Source organism: Homo sapiens, chromosome 10, assembly GCF_000001405.40.
Source record: "Homo sapiens chromosome 10, GRCh38.p14 Primary Assembly".
In the NCBI taxonomy this organism is placed as follows: Eukaryota; Metazoa; Chordata; class Mammalia; order Primates; family Hominidae; genus Homo; species Homo sapiens.
This window is the reverse complement of record NC_000010.11, coordinates 15075411-15089972: the sequence shown is the minus strand read 5'-3', so window position 1 is coordinate 15089972 and position 14562 is coordinate 15075411. Positions and strand designations below refer to the sequence as shown.

General features: G+C 45.1%; 1 protein-coding gene and 1 long non-coding RNA gene across 2 annotated transcripts in view, besides 3 other annotated features; both read left to right on the top strand.

The window, feature by feature from the left end:
* Positions 1023-1412: a silencer, noted in NCBI's record as "silent region_2167". NCBI's record gives its function as "represses an Ori minimal core promoter by ATAC-STARR-seq in GM12878 lymphoblastoid cells {active_cell/tissue: GM12878}" and the evidence as "EXISTENCE:reporter gene assay evidence [ECO:0000049][PMID:35858748]".
* Positions 1197-14498, top strand: ACBD7 (acyl-CoA binding domain containing 7). Its single transcript, NM_001039844.3, has 4 exons — positions 1197-1256; positions 10933-11050; positions 11220-11282; positions 11370-14498. The coding sequence occupies exons 1-4, from the start codon at positions 1245-1247 to the stop codon at positions 11441-11443; spliced, it is 267 nt and encodes an 88-aa protein (NP_001034933.1). The 5' UTR covers positions 1197-1244; the 3' UTR covers positions 11444-14498.
* The window catches only part of ACBD7-DCLRE1CP1 (ACBD7-DCLRE1CP1 readthrough), a 73705-nt gene continuing 60339 nt past the window's right edge, over positions 1197-14562 (top strand). The window contains exons 1-2 of the long non-coding RNA NR_144471.1: positions 1197-1256; positions 10933-11050. This is a non-coding gene — a long non-coding RNA (ACBD7-DCLRE1CP1 readthrough). The remainder of the gene's footprint in view (positions 1257-10932; positions 11051-14562) is intronic.
* Positions 5472-5994: an enhancer, noted in NCBI's record as "H3K27ac-H3K4me1 hESC enhancer chr10:15125978-15126500 (GRCh37/hg19 assembly coordinates)". NCBI's record gives its function as "activates a minimal SCP1, AML or CMV promoter by ChIP-STARR-seq in naive and primed H9 embryonic stem cells {active_cell/tissue: H9 hESC(naive and primed)}" and the evidence as "EXISTENCE:reporter gene assay evidence [ECO:0000049][PMID:30033119]".
* Positions 5995-6518: an enhancer, noted in NCBI's record as "H3K27ac-H3K4me1 hESC enhancer chr10:15125454-15125977 (GRCh37/hg19 assembly coordinates)". NCBI's record gives its function as "activates a minimal SCP1, AML or CMV promoter by ChIP-STARR-seq in naive H9 embryonic stem cells {active_cell/tissue: H9 hESC(naive)}" and the evidence as "EXISTENCE:reporter gene assay evidence [ECO:0000049][PMID:30033119]".

Genomic DNA, 14562 nt, shown 5'->3' with positions numbered 1-14562 from the left:
AGGTGCAAACCACAGGCCACTTTCTCTCATGATAAACAGCGCCTGGAGGCAGCGTGGAGGAGACACATCCATCATCCACGTTTCTAGGAATAATGGACATGAGAGAAGTATGTATAAAGAAGGAATCCTGTGCTTCGGGAAGCCGAGGTGGGAGGATCGCTTGAGGTCAGGAGTTCGAGACCAGCCTGGGCAACCTAGTGAGACGCCCCCCCCACCACCTCTCTTAAAAAAAAAAAAAACACATATATATATATTTTTTAATTTGCACTTTTAATTTATAAAATTTTTAATTTTTAACATTTTAAATATATATAAATTTATATATAATTTTTAGAGAAAAAATATATAATATATATATACCTAGGAAGACCCCAACCTCTGAAAAAAATTTATATATATAAATTTTTAATTTATAAAATTTTAAATACATATTTACTTATTCTTTTTTTTTTTTGAGACGGAGTTTCACACTTGTTGCCCAGGCTGGAGTGCAATGGTGCAATCTTGGCTCACCACAGCCTCCACCTCCCGGGTTCAAGCGATTCTCCTGCCTCAGCCTCCCGAGTAACTGGGATTACAGGTATGCGCCACCACACCCGGCTAATTTTGTATTTTTAGTAGAGACAGGGTTTCTCCATGTTGGTCAGGCTGGTCTCGAACTCCCGACCTCAGGTGATCTGCCGGCCTCAGCCTCCCAAAGTGTTGGGATTACAGGCGTGAGGCACCGCGCCCGGCCAATACATATTTACATGTATAAATTTTTTTAAATTGAAAAAATTACATATGTATTTTAAGAGAGTTGGGGCGGGTCTCTCTAGATAAATATATATCTCTCTCTCTATATATATATATATTTTTTCTCTCTCTCTCTCTCTCTCTGTCTCTCTCCTTCTTTCTTTCTTTCGAAGGCATTCCAGGGGAGGCCTGTGCCCTACGGAGACCTCTCTGGGTTTCCTGCAAAGAACCGCTTGAGAAAGAATAGAAGAGAGAGCCAAGAGCGGAGAGAAACTCATTTAAATTCTCCTGTCTTCGCCTTTCCATTTGCAGCCTGGGGAACCCGGCGTGCAGTACCGCTCACCGCCCAGCCTCGCCCCCGCGCCCGCGACCAATGGGAGGCGGCCGGGCCGGGAGCGCGGCCAATGGCAGCGGCCGGAGGAGACGCGGCCGTTTAAGAAGCGGTGGGTGCGAGAGGGGGCAGAGCACCGGACGACAACAGCAGCAGCAACAACGCGGCAGCCGCCACCATGGCCCTGCAGGTACCCGGGGCGCGGGGAGGCCACGCGGGAGGGGCGCTCCGCGAGGGGAGTGCTTAAGTGGGGCTCCGGGTGGGCTTGGCGCCCCTGGGAGCGGTCGGCGGTGACCCGGGGGACACGCCCACTCCTTCCCCAGCGCCCCAGATGGCAGTGTAGACCGCACCTGTGCCTGCTGACGGCGAGCCAGGGCTCCCAGGGCAACCCTTCCGGACCCCAGGGGCCGGGTGAGCGGAAAAGCAGGCAAGGCAGGAGCGCCGGGGAGCACGGAGCGGGCCTCCTCCTCTCCGTCTCCGAGAGGGAGTCGAGATCCCCCGCTCCCGCCCCTTCGCTCGTTGGGACCTCCAGGACCTCTCTTAGTGTCATACTGAGCAGAAGAGATCTGTGAGGCTCCAATTTAAAAATACTGTTTTATAGGTATGTGAAAAAAATTGTTAAGGGTGGAAAACTTTGGAAAAGACAACAAATATAAAGTAATAATTACTGATAATAATCCAATGATAATTCCTTCACCCAGGTGATAATCACTGCTACATGCTAGGGTAATTCCTAGTATGTCCTAGTATGTTATTTTCCATGTGTGTATGTGTGTGGCATATATCTACACACATACCTATGATGTTATTGTGTATATAGTTTTATTCCTACACGTAAAACAGTAATATGAGCATTTTCTCATTATTAAATATTCTAAAATGTAATTTTATTTTTCTTTTTTGAGACAGAGTCTCATTCTGTTGCCCAGGTTGAGGCGCAGTTGGTGCGATCTCTGCTCACTGCAACCTCTGCTCACTGCAACCTCCACCTCCCAGGTGTAAGCGATTCTCATGTCTCAGCCTCCGCAGTAGCTGGGGTTACAGGTGCACGCCACCACGCCCGGCTGATTTTTGTAATTTTTTTTTTTTTTTTTTAAGATGGAGTCTCATTCTGTCACCCAGGCTGTTTGAGATGGAGTCTCACTCTGTCACCCAGGCTGGAGTGCAGTGGTGCAATCTCAGCTCACCGCAACCTCCGCCTCCCAAGTTCAAGTGATTCTCCTATCTCAGCCTCCCAAATAGCTGGGATTATAGGCGTGCGCCGCCACTCCTGGCTATTTTTCTCTATTTTTAGTGGAGATGGGGTTTCGCTGTGTTGGCCAGACTGGTCTCCAACTCCTGACCTCAAGTGATCCACCCGCCTTGGACACCCAAAGTGCTGGGATTTCAGGCGTGAGCCACCACGCCCGGCCTCTAAAATGTAATCTTTTACATGCACAAAATTTCATAGAACGTGGCTCACTTCTTTAACCATTTCAGTCAGGCAAGACGTTATCCTGCGTAAAGTTGTAATACATACTTCAGGGCCATCTGGGTTCAAATGTGTGCCTCACTTCTACTTAGCCTGTGACATAGTTAACCTCTCCGTGCCTCAGTTTCTTTATCTAAAAATGCAGGAGAGATACATTAAATGAGTTATATGTATAAAGCATTTAAAACAATGTTTGGCATGTGGTAGAAGTCCAATAAGGATAAGCTTGTGGTGGAACATTTAGTTTGTTTGTTTTGAGACAGGGTCTCACTCTGTCACCCAGGCTGGAGTGCAATGGCATGATCTCAGCTCACTGCAGCCTTGACCTCCTGGGCTCAAGTGATCCTGCCACTTCAGCCTCCCAAGTAGCTTGGACCACAGGCACCTGCCACCACACCTGGCTATTTTTTTTTTTTTTTTTTGAGATGGAGTTTCACTCTTGTTGCCCAGGCTGGAGTGCAATGGCGCAATCTTGGCTCACCGCAACCTCCACCTTCTGGGTTCAACCGATTCTCCTGCCTCAGCCTCCTGAGTAGCTGGGATTACAGGCATGTGCCACCACACCCAATTAATTTTGTATTTTTAGTAGAGATGGAGTTTCTCCATGTTGGTCAGGGTGGTCTCAAACTCCTGACCTCAGGTGATCTGCCCGCCTCAGCCTCCCAAAGTGCTTGGATTACAGGTGTGAGCCACCATGCCAGGCTTTCCTTTTTTGTATCTTTTGTAGACATTTGGTTTTGCTGTGTTGCCCAGGCTGATCTCCAACTCCTGAGCTCAAGCGATCCACCCGCCTTGGCCTCCCAAAGTGCTGGGATTACAGGCATGAGCCACCTTGCCTGGCTCAAATATTCTTGTGCGTGACTTATGTGTTTATACTGAACTCTCTCCAAAATGATCAAAATGTTCTTTCTAAAATTTCCTGAAAGATCTGAAAGTTTCCTTTTTAGCTTAGTACTTTGGTTTTCTGTTGTTGTTTGCTTTTAAAATACTTGCAACGAGGAATTAAGAGTTGAGGAACATCACAGAAAAGCAGTATGCTAAGAAGTATTAACATCGACCCATGATATTATCTACTAATAATGCATTTGCGTGTCAACAATATTGGGGGAAGGTAACTTTTTTTTTTTTTGAGATGGTGTCTTGCTCTGTTGCCCAGGCTGGAGTGCAATGGCGTGATCTTGACTCACTGCAACCTCCACCTCCCAGATTCAAGCAATTCTCCTGCCTTAGCCTCCTAGTAGCTGGAATTACAGGTGCCTGCCACCACGGCCGGCTAATTTTTGTATTTTTAGTAGAGACAGGGTTTCACCATGTTGGCCAGGCTGGTCTTGAACTCCTGACCTCAAGTGATCTGCCTGCCTCAGCCTCCCAAAGTGCTGGGATTACAGATGTGAGCTACCACGCCCAGCTGAAAGTAACTTTTAAAAATGACAACTAATAACTGGCTGACATATTGAAATCTCTTCTGTCTTTATTACCTCACTGGCATGTGCGGGGATCATATTGGTACTAGTGTTCTGCCAAGATGCTCACTGAGTGGAAATGAGAGGAAAGGTGACTAGTTCAGGGTCCCCAGTCTTCTATTTATTTACACAAGAATAAGTATACTGGCAGACTGTCATTGGAGTAGCAAAACAAATGGAATTTCTAATTCGGCTATAGCCTCCTGATTTTATCTGAAAATTACAATATGTTTCCATCCTCACCAAAGCATTTAGGAGAGCTGATGTTTATCCTAAATGGACAAATTTCTTTCCTAGATGATGAAGCTAAAAAACAGACTTCTTCCTCTAGAATATGTATCTTTTCAAGTCTAGGGTACTGATGATTTTAACAACTGGCAAAAAAAGACTAACCTCTTCCCCCAGCCCACATTTGTGTGACCTAAGAACCCTGCAGTTCCTTGAGTGTGAGAATTTTTTATCTTCTTAATTGGGTTGCTCAATGGGAAAGAATTGCTCAAGAAGACCTTGCCAACCCCCTATGTGGGATGACCATGTTCATTGCAGAAAGTAAAGTCAGGTGAGGTGAGAGCCACCCTCGGAGGCTGTCTTCAGCGGGGCTGAAATGTGAAAGGTAATTTACACAGCAGCCCGCCTAGTCAGCACGGAAGGATGCACCCAGGATGTACCCAGTGTGAGTGATGCTGGCGTAACTTCTACGCCAAAGGTGGGGTGAGGGAGCCTAGTGTCAAAAGTTGAACAGGAGAGAGTCCAGGGAGGGGCTGTAGTAGCCTTAAGGCAGTTTGTCTTGCAGAATCCCAAGCTCGGGTGACCGGGAGATAATGCACAAAACATTCAACCAGGATGCCGAGGACCCCTCGCTCAGGAGAAATCAGCTCAGCATTGGCTGCAGTTCCTGCCAAAGGCAGCAAGCCCAGCTCTGCAACAGGATACTGCAAAACTGTGATGCCTTTCTCTCAGGATGAGGCAGGAGAATAGGGTCTGGAGGCAGGGAACCTAAGGCCGATTCACACTGACTTTGTAGAACTAAATCAAAACCCCAACTTTCCACACCTATGTAATAAAAGGACCGGAGGCTACTCCCTTTGCAACCTCCTCCCCACTTTCTGTGTGGCAGATGGAAAATTGAAAGTATCTCTGACTGGTTGCTTTCTGCAACCAATCAGACATTTGCACAGGAATGTACCTTTGTAACTTCATTTCAGCCTCTGATTGGTTGCTTTCCCCAACCAGTCAGACTGATCGTGAGCCAAGTCTTTATTTGCATAGAAGTGTAACTTTGTAACTTCAGCCTCTGATTGCAGGCCGCTACTTCATTTACATAGGATGCACACCAAGTAACCAATGGGAAGCCTCTGGAGGGCGTTTAAGCACAGAAAATTCTGTAACAGGGATCTTGAGTCCCTGTGCTCGGCCTGCTCCCACCCTGTGGAATGTACTTTCGCTTTCAGTAAATCTCGGCTTTTGTTGCTTCATTGTTTCCTTGCTTTGTTTGTGCATTTTGTCCAATTTTTTGTTCAAAATGCCAAGAACTTGGGCACCCTCCACTGGTAACAAGAATGCTTTGGAATTCAATGTCCATGGCTCTATATTTAAAGCTGCATCTCACCTATGATAACTTTCTGATCCCCCTAAAGTCTGCTCGCTCGTTAACCATCCAACAAGGATGTACTTAATAGACTCAGACCAGGCTCACGCCACCCACCAGCAGTCCGTGAGGCCCCGTGGGTGCTGCCAAGGTGATTATTGATTGATTGTTTATTTATTGATTTGTGAGTATTTATGCAACCCCACATAGCCTTTATGTTGAGCTCTAGTAAGTTCTGTCCACACCGCTGGGAGCAGCTTTCCCTGCCCCTCTGCAGCCAACAATCGCAGACCCGATCCCATCTCATCTCAGGGATGGCTTTTTCCGTTCCGTACCTTCCCGTCTGTGCTACCTCCTGTGTTCCCAGAGCAACTGCTGCACCTTATTTGCAGCAAGTCCCCTGTGGTCACCGTTGCCCTGTTCATCTCCCACCAGGCTATGAGCGCCTTCAAGCACGCTGCCTTGTGCATGCCCATCTGCCTGGCAAAGGCCTGGCCTGTCGGAGGTGTTCAGTAAGTAGGTTTGTTAATTAGTATGAGCTGTGAGATGAACTCTGGGAGGGCAGACTCCATAGGATCAAATCAAGAATATTTTACATTCTTGGCCGGGCATCGTGGCTCACGCCTGTAATCCCAGCACTTTGGGAAGCAGAGGTAGGCAGGTCACTTGAGTTCAGGAGTTCAAGACCAGCTTGGCCAACATGGCAAAACCCTATCTTTATTAAAAATACAAAAAAATTAGCCAGGCGTGGTGGTGCATGCCTGTAATCCTAGCTACTTGGGAGGCTGAGGTGGGAGGATCGCTTGAACCAGGAGGTGGAGGTTGCAGTGAGCCGTGATTGTGCCGCTGTACTCTAGCTTGGACAACAGAGCGAGACTGTCTCAAAAAGAAAATTATATTCTTAATCATCCTTAACCCTAGCACAAAAAGAGGCTGATATTCTCTTTTTGTGGCCGAAGCTGCATCTTAGAGGAGCTTTGTTTGTTGCATCGAGTCCCAGGGCAGTGTGTCTCAAAGCTGGAAGTCAAACCTGAGTATCCTGGCCAAGGCCAATGTTGTTTGTACTCCAGCTCATCATGGCTGGGATGGGAAAGGCCTCCTGCAGGAAGGTGCATCAGAACAGCCCCTTAAGGCAGGAATGTATTGCACTGAGGTGCCAGAACCAGACAGGCTAGACAGAGAGAATGATGCTGGCCCCTGCTCTAGAACTGAGTTCCCTACCTAGGGAGGGAGAAAGAGCGGGGACCCCTGAAATGGCATGGGAAACTGTGTGAGGGCATAGCTCTTCTGTGCAGAGGGGTCCAGGACTTTCATTAGATCTTTTTTTCTTTTCTTTTTTCTTTTTTTTGAGACGGAGTCTTGCTCTGTCACCCAGGCTGGAGTGCAGTGGCAGGATCTTGGCTCACTGCAACCTCTGCTCCTGGGTTCAAACTATTTTCCTGCCTCAGTCTCCTGAGTAGCTGGGATCACAGGTGTGAGGCACCGTGCCCAGCTAATTTTTTGTATTTTTAGTAGAGACGGTGTTTCACCATTTTGGCCAGGCTGGTCTCGAACTCTTGACCTTAAGTGAGCCACCTCCCTCAGCCTCCCAAAATGCTGGGATTACAGACGTGAGCCACTGCACCCAGCCCTCATATGGGTTTTCAAGAAGGCTTAGAATTCTAATTAAGGCTTGGCACCTCAAAAGGAGTCGAGTTGCTGTCACTGGAAAATAATATGAGACTTTACAGCAAGCAGAACACCTGAGATGGCCTATAAACCTACAGAGGAAGGTCCTACACCCCTTCTGCATAGCCTTGCCCTCAAGCAGCTCAGCCACTCATGTAGCATTTCAATTTTGTTCTTATTATAAACACAATCCATGCACATTATAGAAGATTTGGAGAGTACAAAAATATTTTAAAACTACATAACTTGCCAGTAATCAGAGGCAATTACTGTTTACATATCTTTAGTATACATCTTTCTAGTTTTTATTTTTTCTATACTACTTACAAAGCTGAGTGTATAAAAAGAATTTGTGTTCTTTGCTAAACCATAAACTAAAAGTATTTCTTATGTCTTGCTTTATTGCAAGTACCTTTTTTTTTTTTTTTTTTTTGAGATAGTCTTGCTCTGTTGCCCAGGCTGGAGTGTAGTGGCATGATCTCGGCTCACTGCAACCTCTACCTCCAGGGTTCAAGCGATTCTCCTGCCTCAGCCTCCCGAGTAGCTGGGATTACAGGCATGTGCCACTATGCCCAGCTAATTTTGTATTTTCAGTAGAGACGGGTTTCTCCATGTTGGTCAGGCTGGTCTCAAACTCCCAACCTTAGGTGATCCACCTGCCTTGGCCTCCCAAAGTGCTGGGATTACAGGTGTGAGCCACTGCGCCCAGCCTGGTCACACAGCTCTTAAGAGATGGAGTTGAGATTCCAATCAAGGCAGTCTGGCTCCAGAGCCATGTTCTTAACCATGGCATTATGTATAAAGCAGCCAAGAGTTTCTTAGGAAGACACTCAGAAGACAAGGCACCCCTTGTTCCATGCCCCGTGCTTCTCAGTCCCCTGTGGGAACTGGGTAGGAGGATGGGCCACGTTCAAGGTTATTTAGGCTGAAGACCCTGATCTCCAACTTACAGGTGATTGTGCTCTTCACAAAACAACTGTTCTGGTTGTGCTACTGTTCGTGGACCAAGCTGAGAGCCCGGCTGCTTACTCTCTCAGCTCAATAACGAGATGCAGATAAACTGGGAGAGAAGAGATTTGATTTCTGTAGCTGGGTGCAAGGAGAAGGACTGCAAATTATTGCGAAGCCAACTCAAAATTACAGAGTTTTCCAGAGCTTATATGCCTGCTAAGTTATATGTCTGCATGTAAGTGTGCGTTCATCTAAAACCTTAAGTGATGAACTTCTTCTAATATATAACTAAGGGCTGAGATCTGAAGACCTTCCTCTGGAGCCTCAGTAAATTTACTTAATCTGGATGGGTCCAGGTGCTGCAGTGATTACCCTTATCTTATTTCCTGCTAAATCATGGAGGGTTGGGGAGTTCCTTCAGACCCCAATAAAACTTGTTTAATCCTAAATGGGTCCTGTTAAGAATTCCTTCATTATCTTGTCATGCCTCAAGCCCCAGGAAGGGCCTGGGCAAAACTCTTGGTGGGCTTTTGTTACCTTGGAGTCTTCGTATGAGGGCACTTGCTCTTTCTGCTTTTAGTATTTAACGTTAACCACTCAGTCAGTGCTGAAACGGTTGTTATGGAGGCCTGCCTGTTTAGCCATTAGGGAAACCTGGCCTGCCACAGTACTGCCTGTCTTTGGGGCTGGAAGGAAACTTGACCCTGCCACTCCGCTGAGCCCGCAGGGTACTGAGGTTACAGTGGGGCTATCCACTTTCTCTCCTAGGCCTTTGGATCCAAAGGGAGCTCTGGCATCAGAGAAGAAGTATGGGGGGCAGGGGGTGGCCAGCATATGTCCTTGAACTTCCCCTGTTTGACAGCCAGCCTACTGACAATTCCTGCTTATCCTGAGTTTTAAAAAATAAGGCAAGGTAAGACACAGTTTAGTTTAAAAATCTATAAAGGAAACTAATCACAAAGCTCTTTGTAGAGTATAAACTAAGAGGTTAGAAAGGGAAAAGGATAAAGATCCTGGGAACACTCAGGCTCTGGAGTAGACTGGACTTCCTTGTCTATTTCAGCCACTGGCTGAACCCTGGGCCAGCCTGAGGGTCTTGCGGGGTTAGGGAGGTCCCAGTTATCAGAGCTAACTCAGGACAAGGCTTAAACTACTTAAGTACATTTGGTTTTTTGTTTTTGTTTTTGAGACAGAGTCTCACTTTGTCGCCCAGGCTAGAGTGCAGTGGTGCTATTTCAGCTCACTGCAACCTCCGCCTCCCAGGTTCAAGCAATTCTTGTGCCACAGACTCCTGAGCAGCTGGGATTACAGGCACGCACCACCAAGCCCAGCTAATTTTTGTATTTTTAGTAGAGACAGGGTTTTGCTATGTTGGCCGGGCTGGTCTCGAACTCCTGACCTCAAGCGATCCCCCTGCCTCAGCATCCCAAAGTGCTAGGATTACAGGCATGAGCCACCACACCAGGCTTAAGTACATTGTATATAGAGTTTCCAGGAAGTCTAAAAACATACCACTCAAGCATATTGGTATACAAAGTTTTCCCTAATAAGCTCTAAATTGGCTAAACAACTCCTCTTTTCTAGAAATCAGTTGCAATAAATCTTATAATTTAGGTCTAGTGTGGAAAGGAATCTGTACAAGCAATTCAGCCAAATCAGGAATAGTGATTACCCTCAGAAACTGGCTAGGTCTAAATAATACTGATATTAAAGAATGTAGGCATGAGGGCACTGGAAGAGAAACGCCCTAGACGATGGTATTAACTGGTAGCGAAGCCCCTGCATGTAGTAAAGTTGGACTGAGGCAGAAGAGGAAGGGCGCATCTGCGAGGTGATTGAGAAACCTTCAATGAGTATAAATAATGCCAAAAAAAAAAAAAAAGAAAAGCAGCTGGGCACGGTGGCTCACACCTGTAATCCCAGCACTTCGGGAGGCCAAGGTGGGTGGATCACAGGGTCAGGAGTTCAAGACCAGCCTGGCCAAGATGGTTAAACCCCGTGTCTACTAAAAATACAAAACTTAGCCAGGCGCGGTGGCAGGTGCCTATAATCCCAGCTACTCGGGAGGCTGAGGCAGGAGAATGGCATGAACCCAGGAGGCGAAGGTTGCAGTGATCCGAGATCTTGCCACTGCACTTCAGCCTGGGCAACAGAGTGAGACTCAGTCTCAAAAAAAAAAAAGCAAACTCACCATCAGGTTCAGTGGCTCACGCCTGTAGTCACAGCACTTTGGGAGGCCGAGGCAGGGGGATCACTTGAGGTCAGGAGTTCAAGACAAGCCTGGCCAACATGACAAAACCCCATCTCTACAAAAAATACAAAAATTAGCCGAGTGTGGTGGTGCACCCCTGTAGTCCCAGCTACTTGGGAGGCTGAGGTAGGAGAATGGCTTGAGCCCCAGAAGTAGAGGTTGCAGTGAGTGGAGACGGTGCCACTGCACTGCACTCCAGCCTGGGCGAGAGAGCCAGACCTTGGCTCAAAAAAAAAAAAAAAAAAAGAAGTTAAACCGAACATTTTCTGTATTAAGAATTTTCTATAGTTCCTCATATTAGGTAAGTCCCAGGAGAGGTGAACTCCTAGGAATTCAAGTAAATTAAGATGATTCTGATAGAACCAGAGCAGCAGAAGTTCATTTCTACTTGGAACCTTCCTCTTCCTGCTCTTTGAGTTCCTATTCCTTGGTGGTAAAATGCTCCTTTTGTTTGTTTGTTTGTTCTTCCTTTAGGCTGATTTTGACAGGGCTGCAGAAGATGTGAGGAAGCTGAAAGCAAGACCAGATGATGGAGAACTGAAAGAACTCTATGGGCTTTACAAACAAGCAATAGTTGGAGACATTAATATTGGTATTATATATTATTAATATTAATATATTCATATGTTACAATTAATATATTAATTGCGATTATAATATATAATTACTTAAAATATAGTAATATACTCCGTTTGAACAATGTCTATAGAAGTGCACAGTAAAATGTTAACCTGCAAATGCATGTCTCCTTCTTTTGCCAGCGTGTCCAGGAATGCTAGATTTAAAAGGCAAAGCCAAATGGGAAGCATGGAACCTCAAAAAAGGTTTTTTAGTCTTTCACAAGTTTAAAGCAAACTTTCTTAATTTCCCAGTGCACCAATCAGGGAGATAACCTGTTTGTATCTTTCTAGGGTTGTCGACGGAAGATGCGACGAGTGCCTATATTTCTAAAGCAAAGGAGCTGATAGAAAAATACGGAATTTAGAATACAGCATATGAGGAATTTTTCCTTTTGAAGACTTCCAAATGCTATCATGACCTAACATTTAGAGGGAGAGGCATACTGTTAACTTGATGTATCATGTATATTTTTGCTATTAGCATGAGCTGTAGTACTTAGAAGTATACTGAAACTACATAGTTAACTCAATTGTACTTGCTTAAACCAGGTGTCTTTAAAAGTTCTTTTTAAGAAAATGTGGCACATATACACCATGGAATACTATGGAGCCATAAAAAGGGATGAGTTCATGTCCTTTGCAGGGACATGGATGAAGCTGGAAACCATCATTCTCAGCAAACTATCACAAGATCAGAAAACCAAGCATGTTCTCACTCATAAGTGGGAGTTGAACAATGAGAACACATGGACACAGGGAAGGGAACATCACACACTGGGGCCTGTCGGGGACTAGGGGGTTAGGGGAGGGATAACATTAGGAGACATACCTGATGTAGGTGACCGGTTGATGGGTACAGCAAACCACCATGGCACATGTATACCTATGTAACAAAACTGCACGTTCTGCATATGTATCCCAGAACTTAAAGTATAAAAAAAAAAATTCTTTTAGAAAAGTATTTTTTATTTTTATAGAGTTAGGGAGTACAGTTGCAGTTTTTGTTTGTTTGTTTGTTTTTTCTTGAGGAGTCTCACTCTGTCACCCAGGCTGGAGTGCAGTCGTGTGATCTCGGTTCACTGCAACCTCCGCCTCCTGGGTTCAAGTGATTCTCTTGCCTCAGCCTCCCGAGTAGCTGGGATTACAGGTGCTTGCCACCATGGCTGGCTAATTTTTGTATTTTTAGTAGAGACGGGGTTTTGCCATGTTGGCCAGGCTGGTCTCGAACTCCTGACCTCAGGTGATCTGCCCACCTTGGCGCTGGGGTTGCAGGTGTGAGCCACCACACCTGGTCACAGGTGCAGTTTTGTTACATGGATATATTGTGTAGTGGGGAAATCTGGGCTTTTAGTGTAACCATCACCAAAATACTGTACATTGTACCCAAAAGGTAATTGCTCATCCCTCACCCCCTCCCACCTTTCCAAGCCTCCAGTGTCTATTATTCCACACTCCATGACCCTGTATACACCCTGTTTAACTCCCACTTATAAGTGAAAACATGTGGTATTTTTTTTTGTTTCTGAGGGTTCTTTAAAAATCTTTATTTTCTTATTTTTTTCTGAGTTGTTTCACTTAAGATAATAGCCTCCAGTTCCACCCACGTTGCTGCAAAAGCCGTAATTTCATTCTCTTTATATGGCTGAGTAATATCCCCTGGTATACATATACAACGTTTTCTTTATCCCATCATCTGCTGATGGATACTTAGGTTGATTCCATATCTTTGCTCTTGTGAATTGTGCTGCAATAGATATACAAGTGCAGGTATCTTTTGGATAGAATGATTTATTTTCCTTTAAGAAGATACCCAGTAGTGGGATTGCTGGGTAGAATGGTAGTTCTATTTTTAGTTCCATGAGAAATTTCCGTGCTGTTTTTCATAGAGGTTGTACTAATTTACATTCCCACCAATAGTGTATAAGCATTCCCTTTTCTCCACATCTGTTGTTTTTTGACTTTTTAGAAAGTCTAGCCCTGGTAATATGTGTACAGATTTGAACAGCTGTTTGTTCTTTTGGCTCATCTGTTCTGTTACAATAAGTTAATGTTACTGGTGAAATAAAAACAGGTTATTAAGAATCAATGGCAAGGCTGAGCGTGGTGGCTCACGCCTCTAATCTCAGCACTTTGGGAGGCCGAGGTAGGTGGATTACTGAGGTCAGAAGTTCGAGACCAGCCTGACCAACATTGCAAAACCCCATCTCTACTAAAAATACAAAAATTAGCCAGCCATTGGTGGTGCACACCTGTAATTCCAGCTACTTGGGAGGCTGAGGCAGGAGAATTGCTTTTACCCAGGAGATGGAGGTTGCAGTGAGCCAAGATCACACCACTGCACTCCAGCCTGGGCGACAAAACAAGACTCCGTCTCAAAAAAAAAAAAAAAAATTACAAGTCTGTCCATAGCAGTTTAAAGAAATTTAAAAAGCCCCCATAGGAATATCTATTTTTCTTTAAATTTTTACATTTAAGACATTTAAGACAAAAAGGCAAACTAAAATGTATCTAGTGATAAACTGTACCACTACTGTACCCCATATGTTCAGTTCTATCTGAGTAAAAATAGAGTCTGGAATATAATATTGGCCCCCTACTCAGTCTTTCTGGATGGTACACAGGCTCTTTGAAAGAAGACAGTCTCATGTTAACAATTCAAAAAATTGTTTGAGATCCCTTAAGATAAATATCCCCCAAAACAGTGTACCTCTATTCCCTGCATAAAAATTTAGATTTGGAATGGTATGACCAGAGGAATAGATCCACTTCATGTTACTACAACAACAAAACTATCTAGGTCTGCTAGATGAATTTCCAGGGAATTATGCTGAGCAGAAAAAGCCAGTCCCCAAATGTGACATGTATAATTCCATTTATATAACATTCTTTTTCTTTTCTTTTTTTTTTTTTTTTTTTTTGTTGAGACAGGCTGTCACTCTGTTACCCAGGCTGGAGCGCAGTGGCACGCTCTCGGCTCACTGCAACCTCTGCCTCCCAGGGTCAAGCAATCCTCCCATCTCAGCCTCCAGAGTAGCTGGGACTACAGGTGCGTGCAACCATGCCCAGCTAATTTTTGTATTTTTCATAGAGACAGGGTTTCACCATGTTGCCCAGGCTGGTCTGGAACTCCTGATCTGAGGTGATCTACCCACCTTGGCCCCCCAAAGTGCTGAGACTATAGGCATGAGCCACCGCGTCCAGCCAGGATTCTTGAAAGGGAACATTTATAGACGCAAAGGATGGAATAGTGGTTGCCAGGGAGGAGGGAGGTGGGTGTGGCTTTAAAAGGGCAGCAGGAGGGATGATCCTGCAGTGATGGAATGTTCTGTCTTGATTGTAGCAACACCAATATGCTGATTGTGATATTATACTATAGTTTTGCATAACAGTTACCATTAAAGGAAATTGGGTAAAAGGCTACACAAATCTCTCTGTATTATTTCTTACAAATAAAAGGGAATCTGCAGTTACCTCAAAAAGTTTA

Bases quoted from the DNA above. Each gene is read 5' to 3' on its own strand.
- ACBD7 (NM_001039844.3), top strand. The intron at 11,051-11,219 runs GTATTATATATT...TTCTTTTGCCAG, and splicing joins AGTTGGAGACATTAATATTG to CGTGTCCAGGAATGCTAGAT. The intron at 11,283-11,369 runs GTTTTTTAGTCT...GTATCTTTCTAG, and splicing joins AGCATGGAACCTCAAAAAAG to GGTTGTCGACGGAAGATGCG.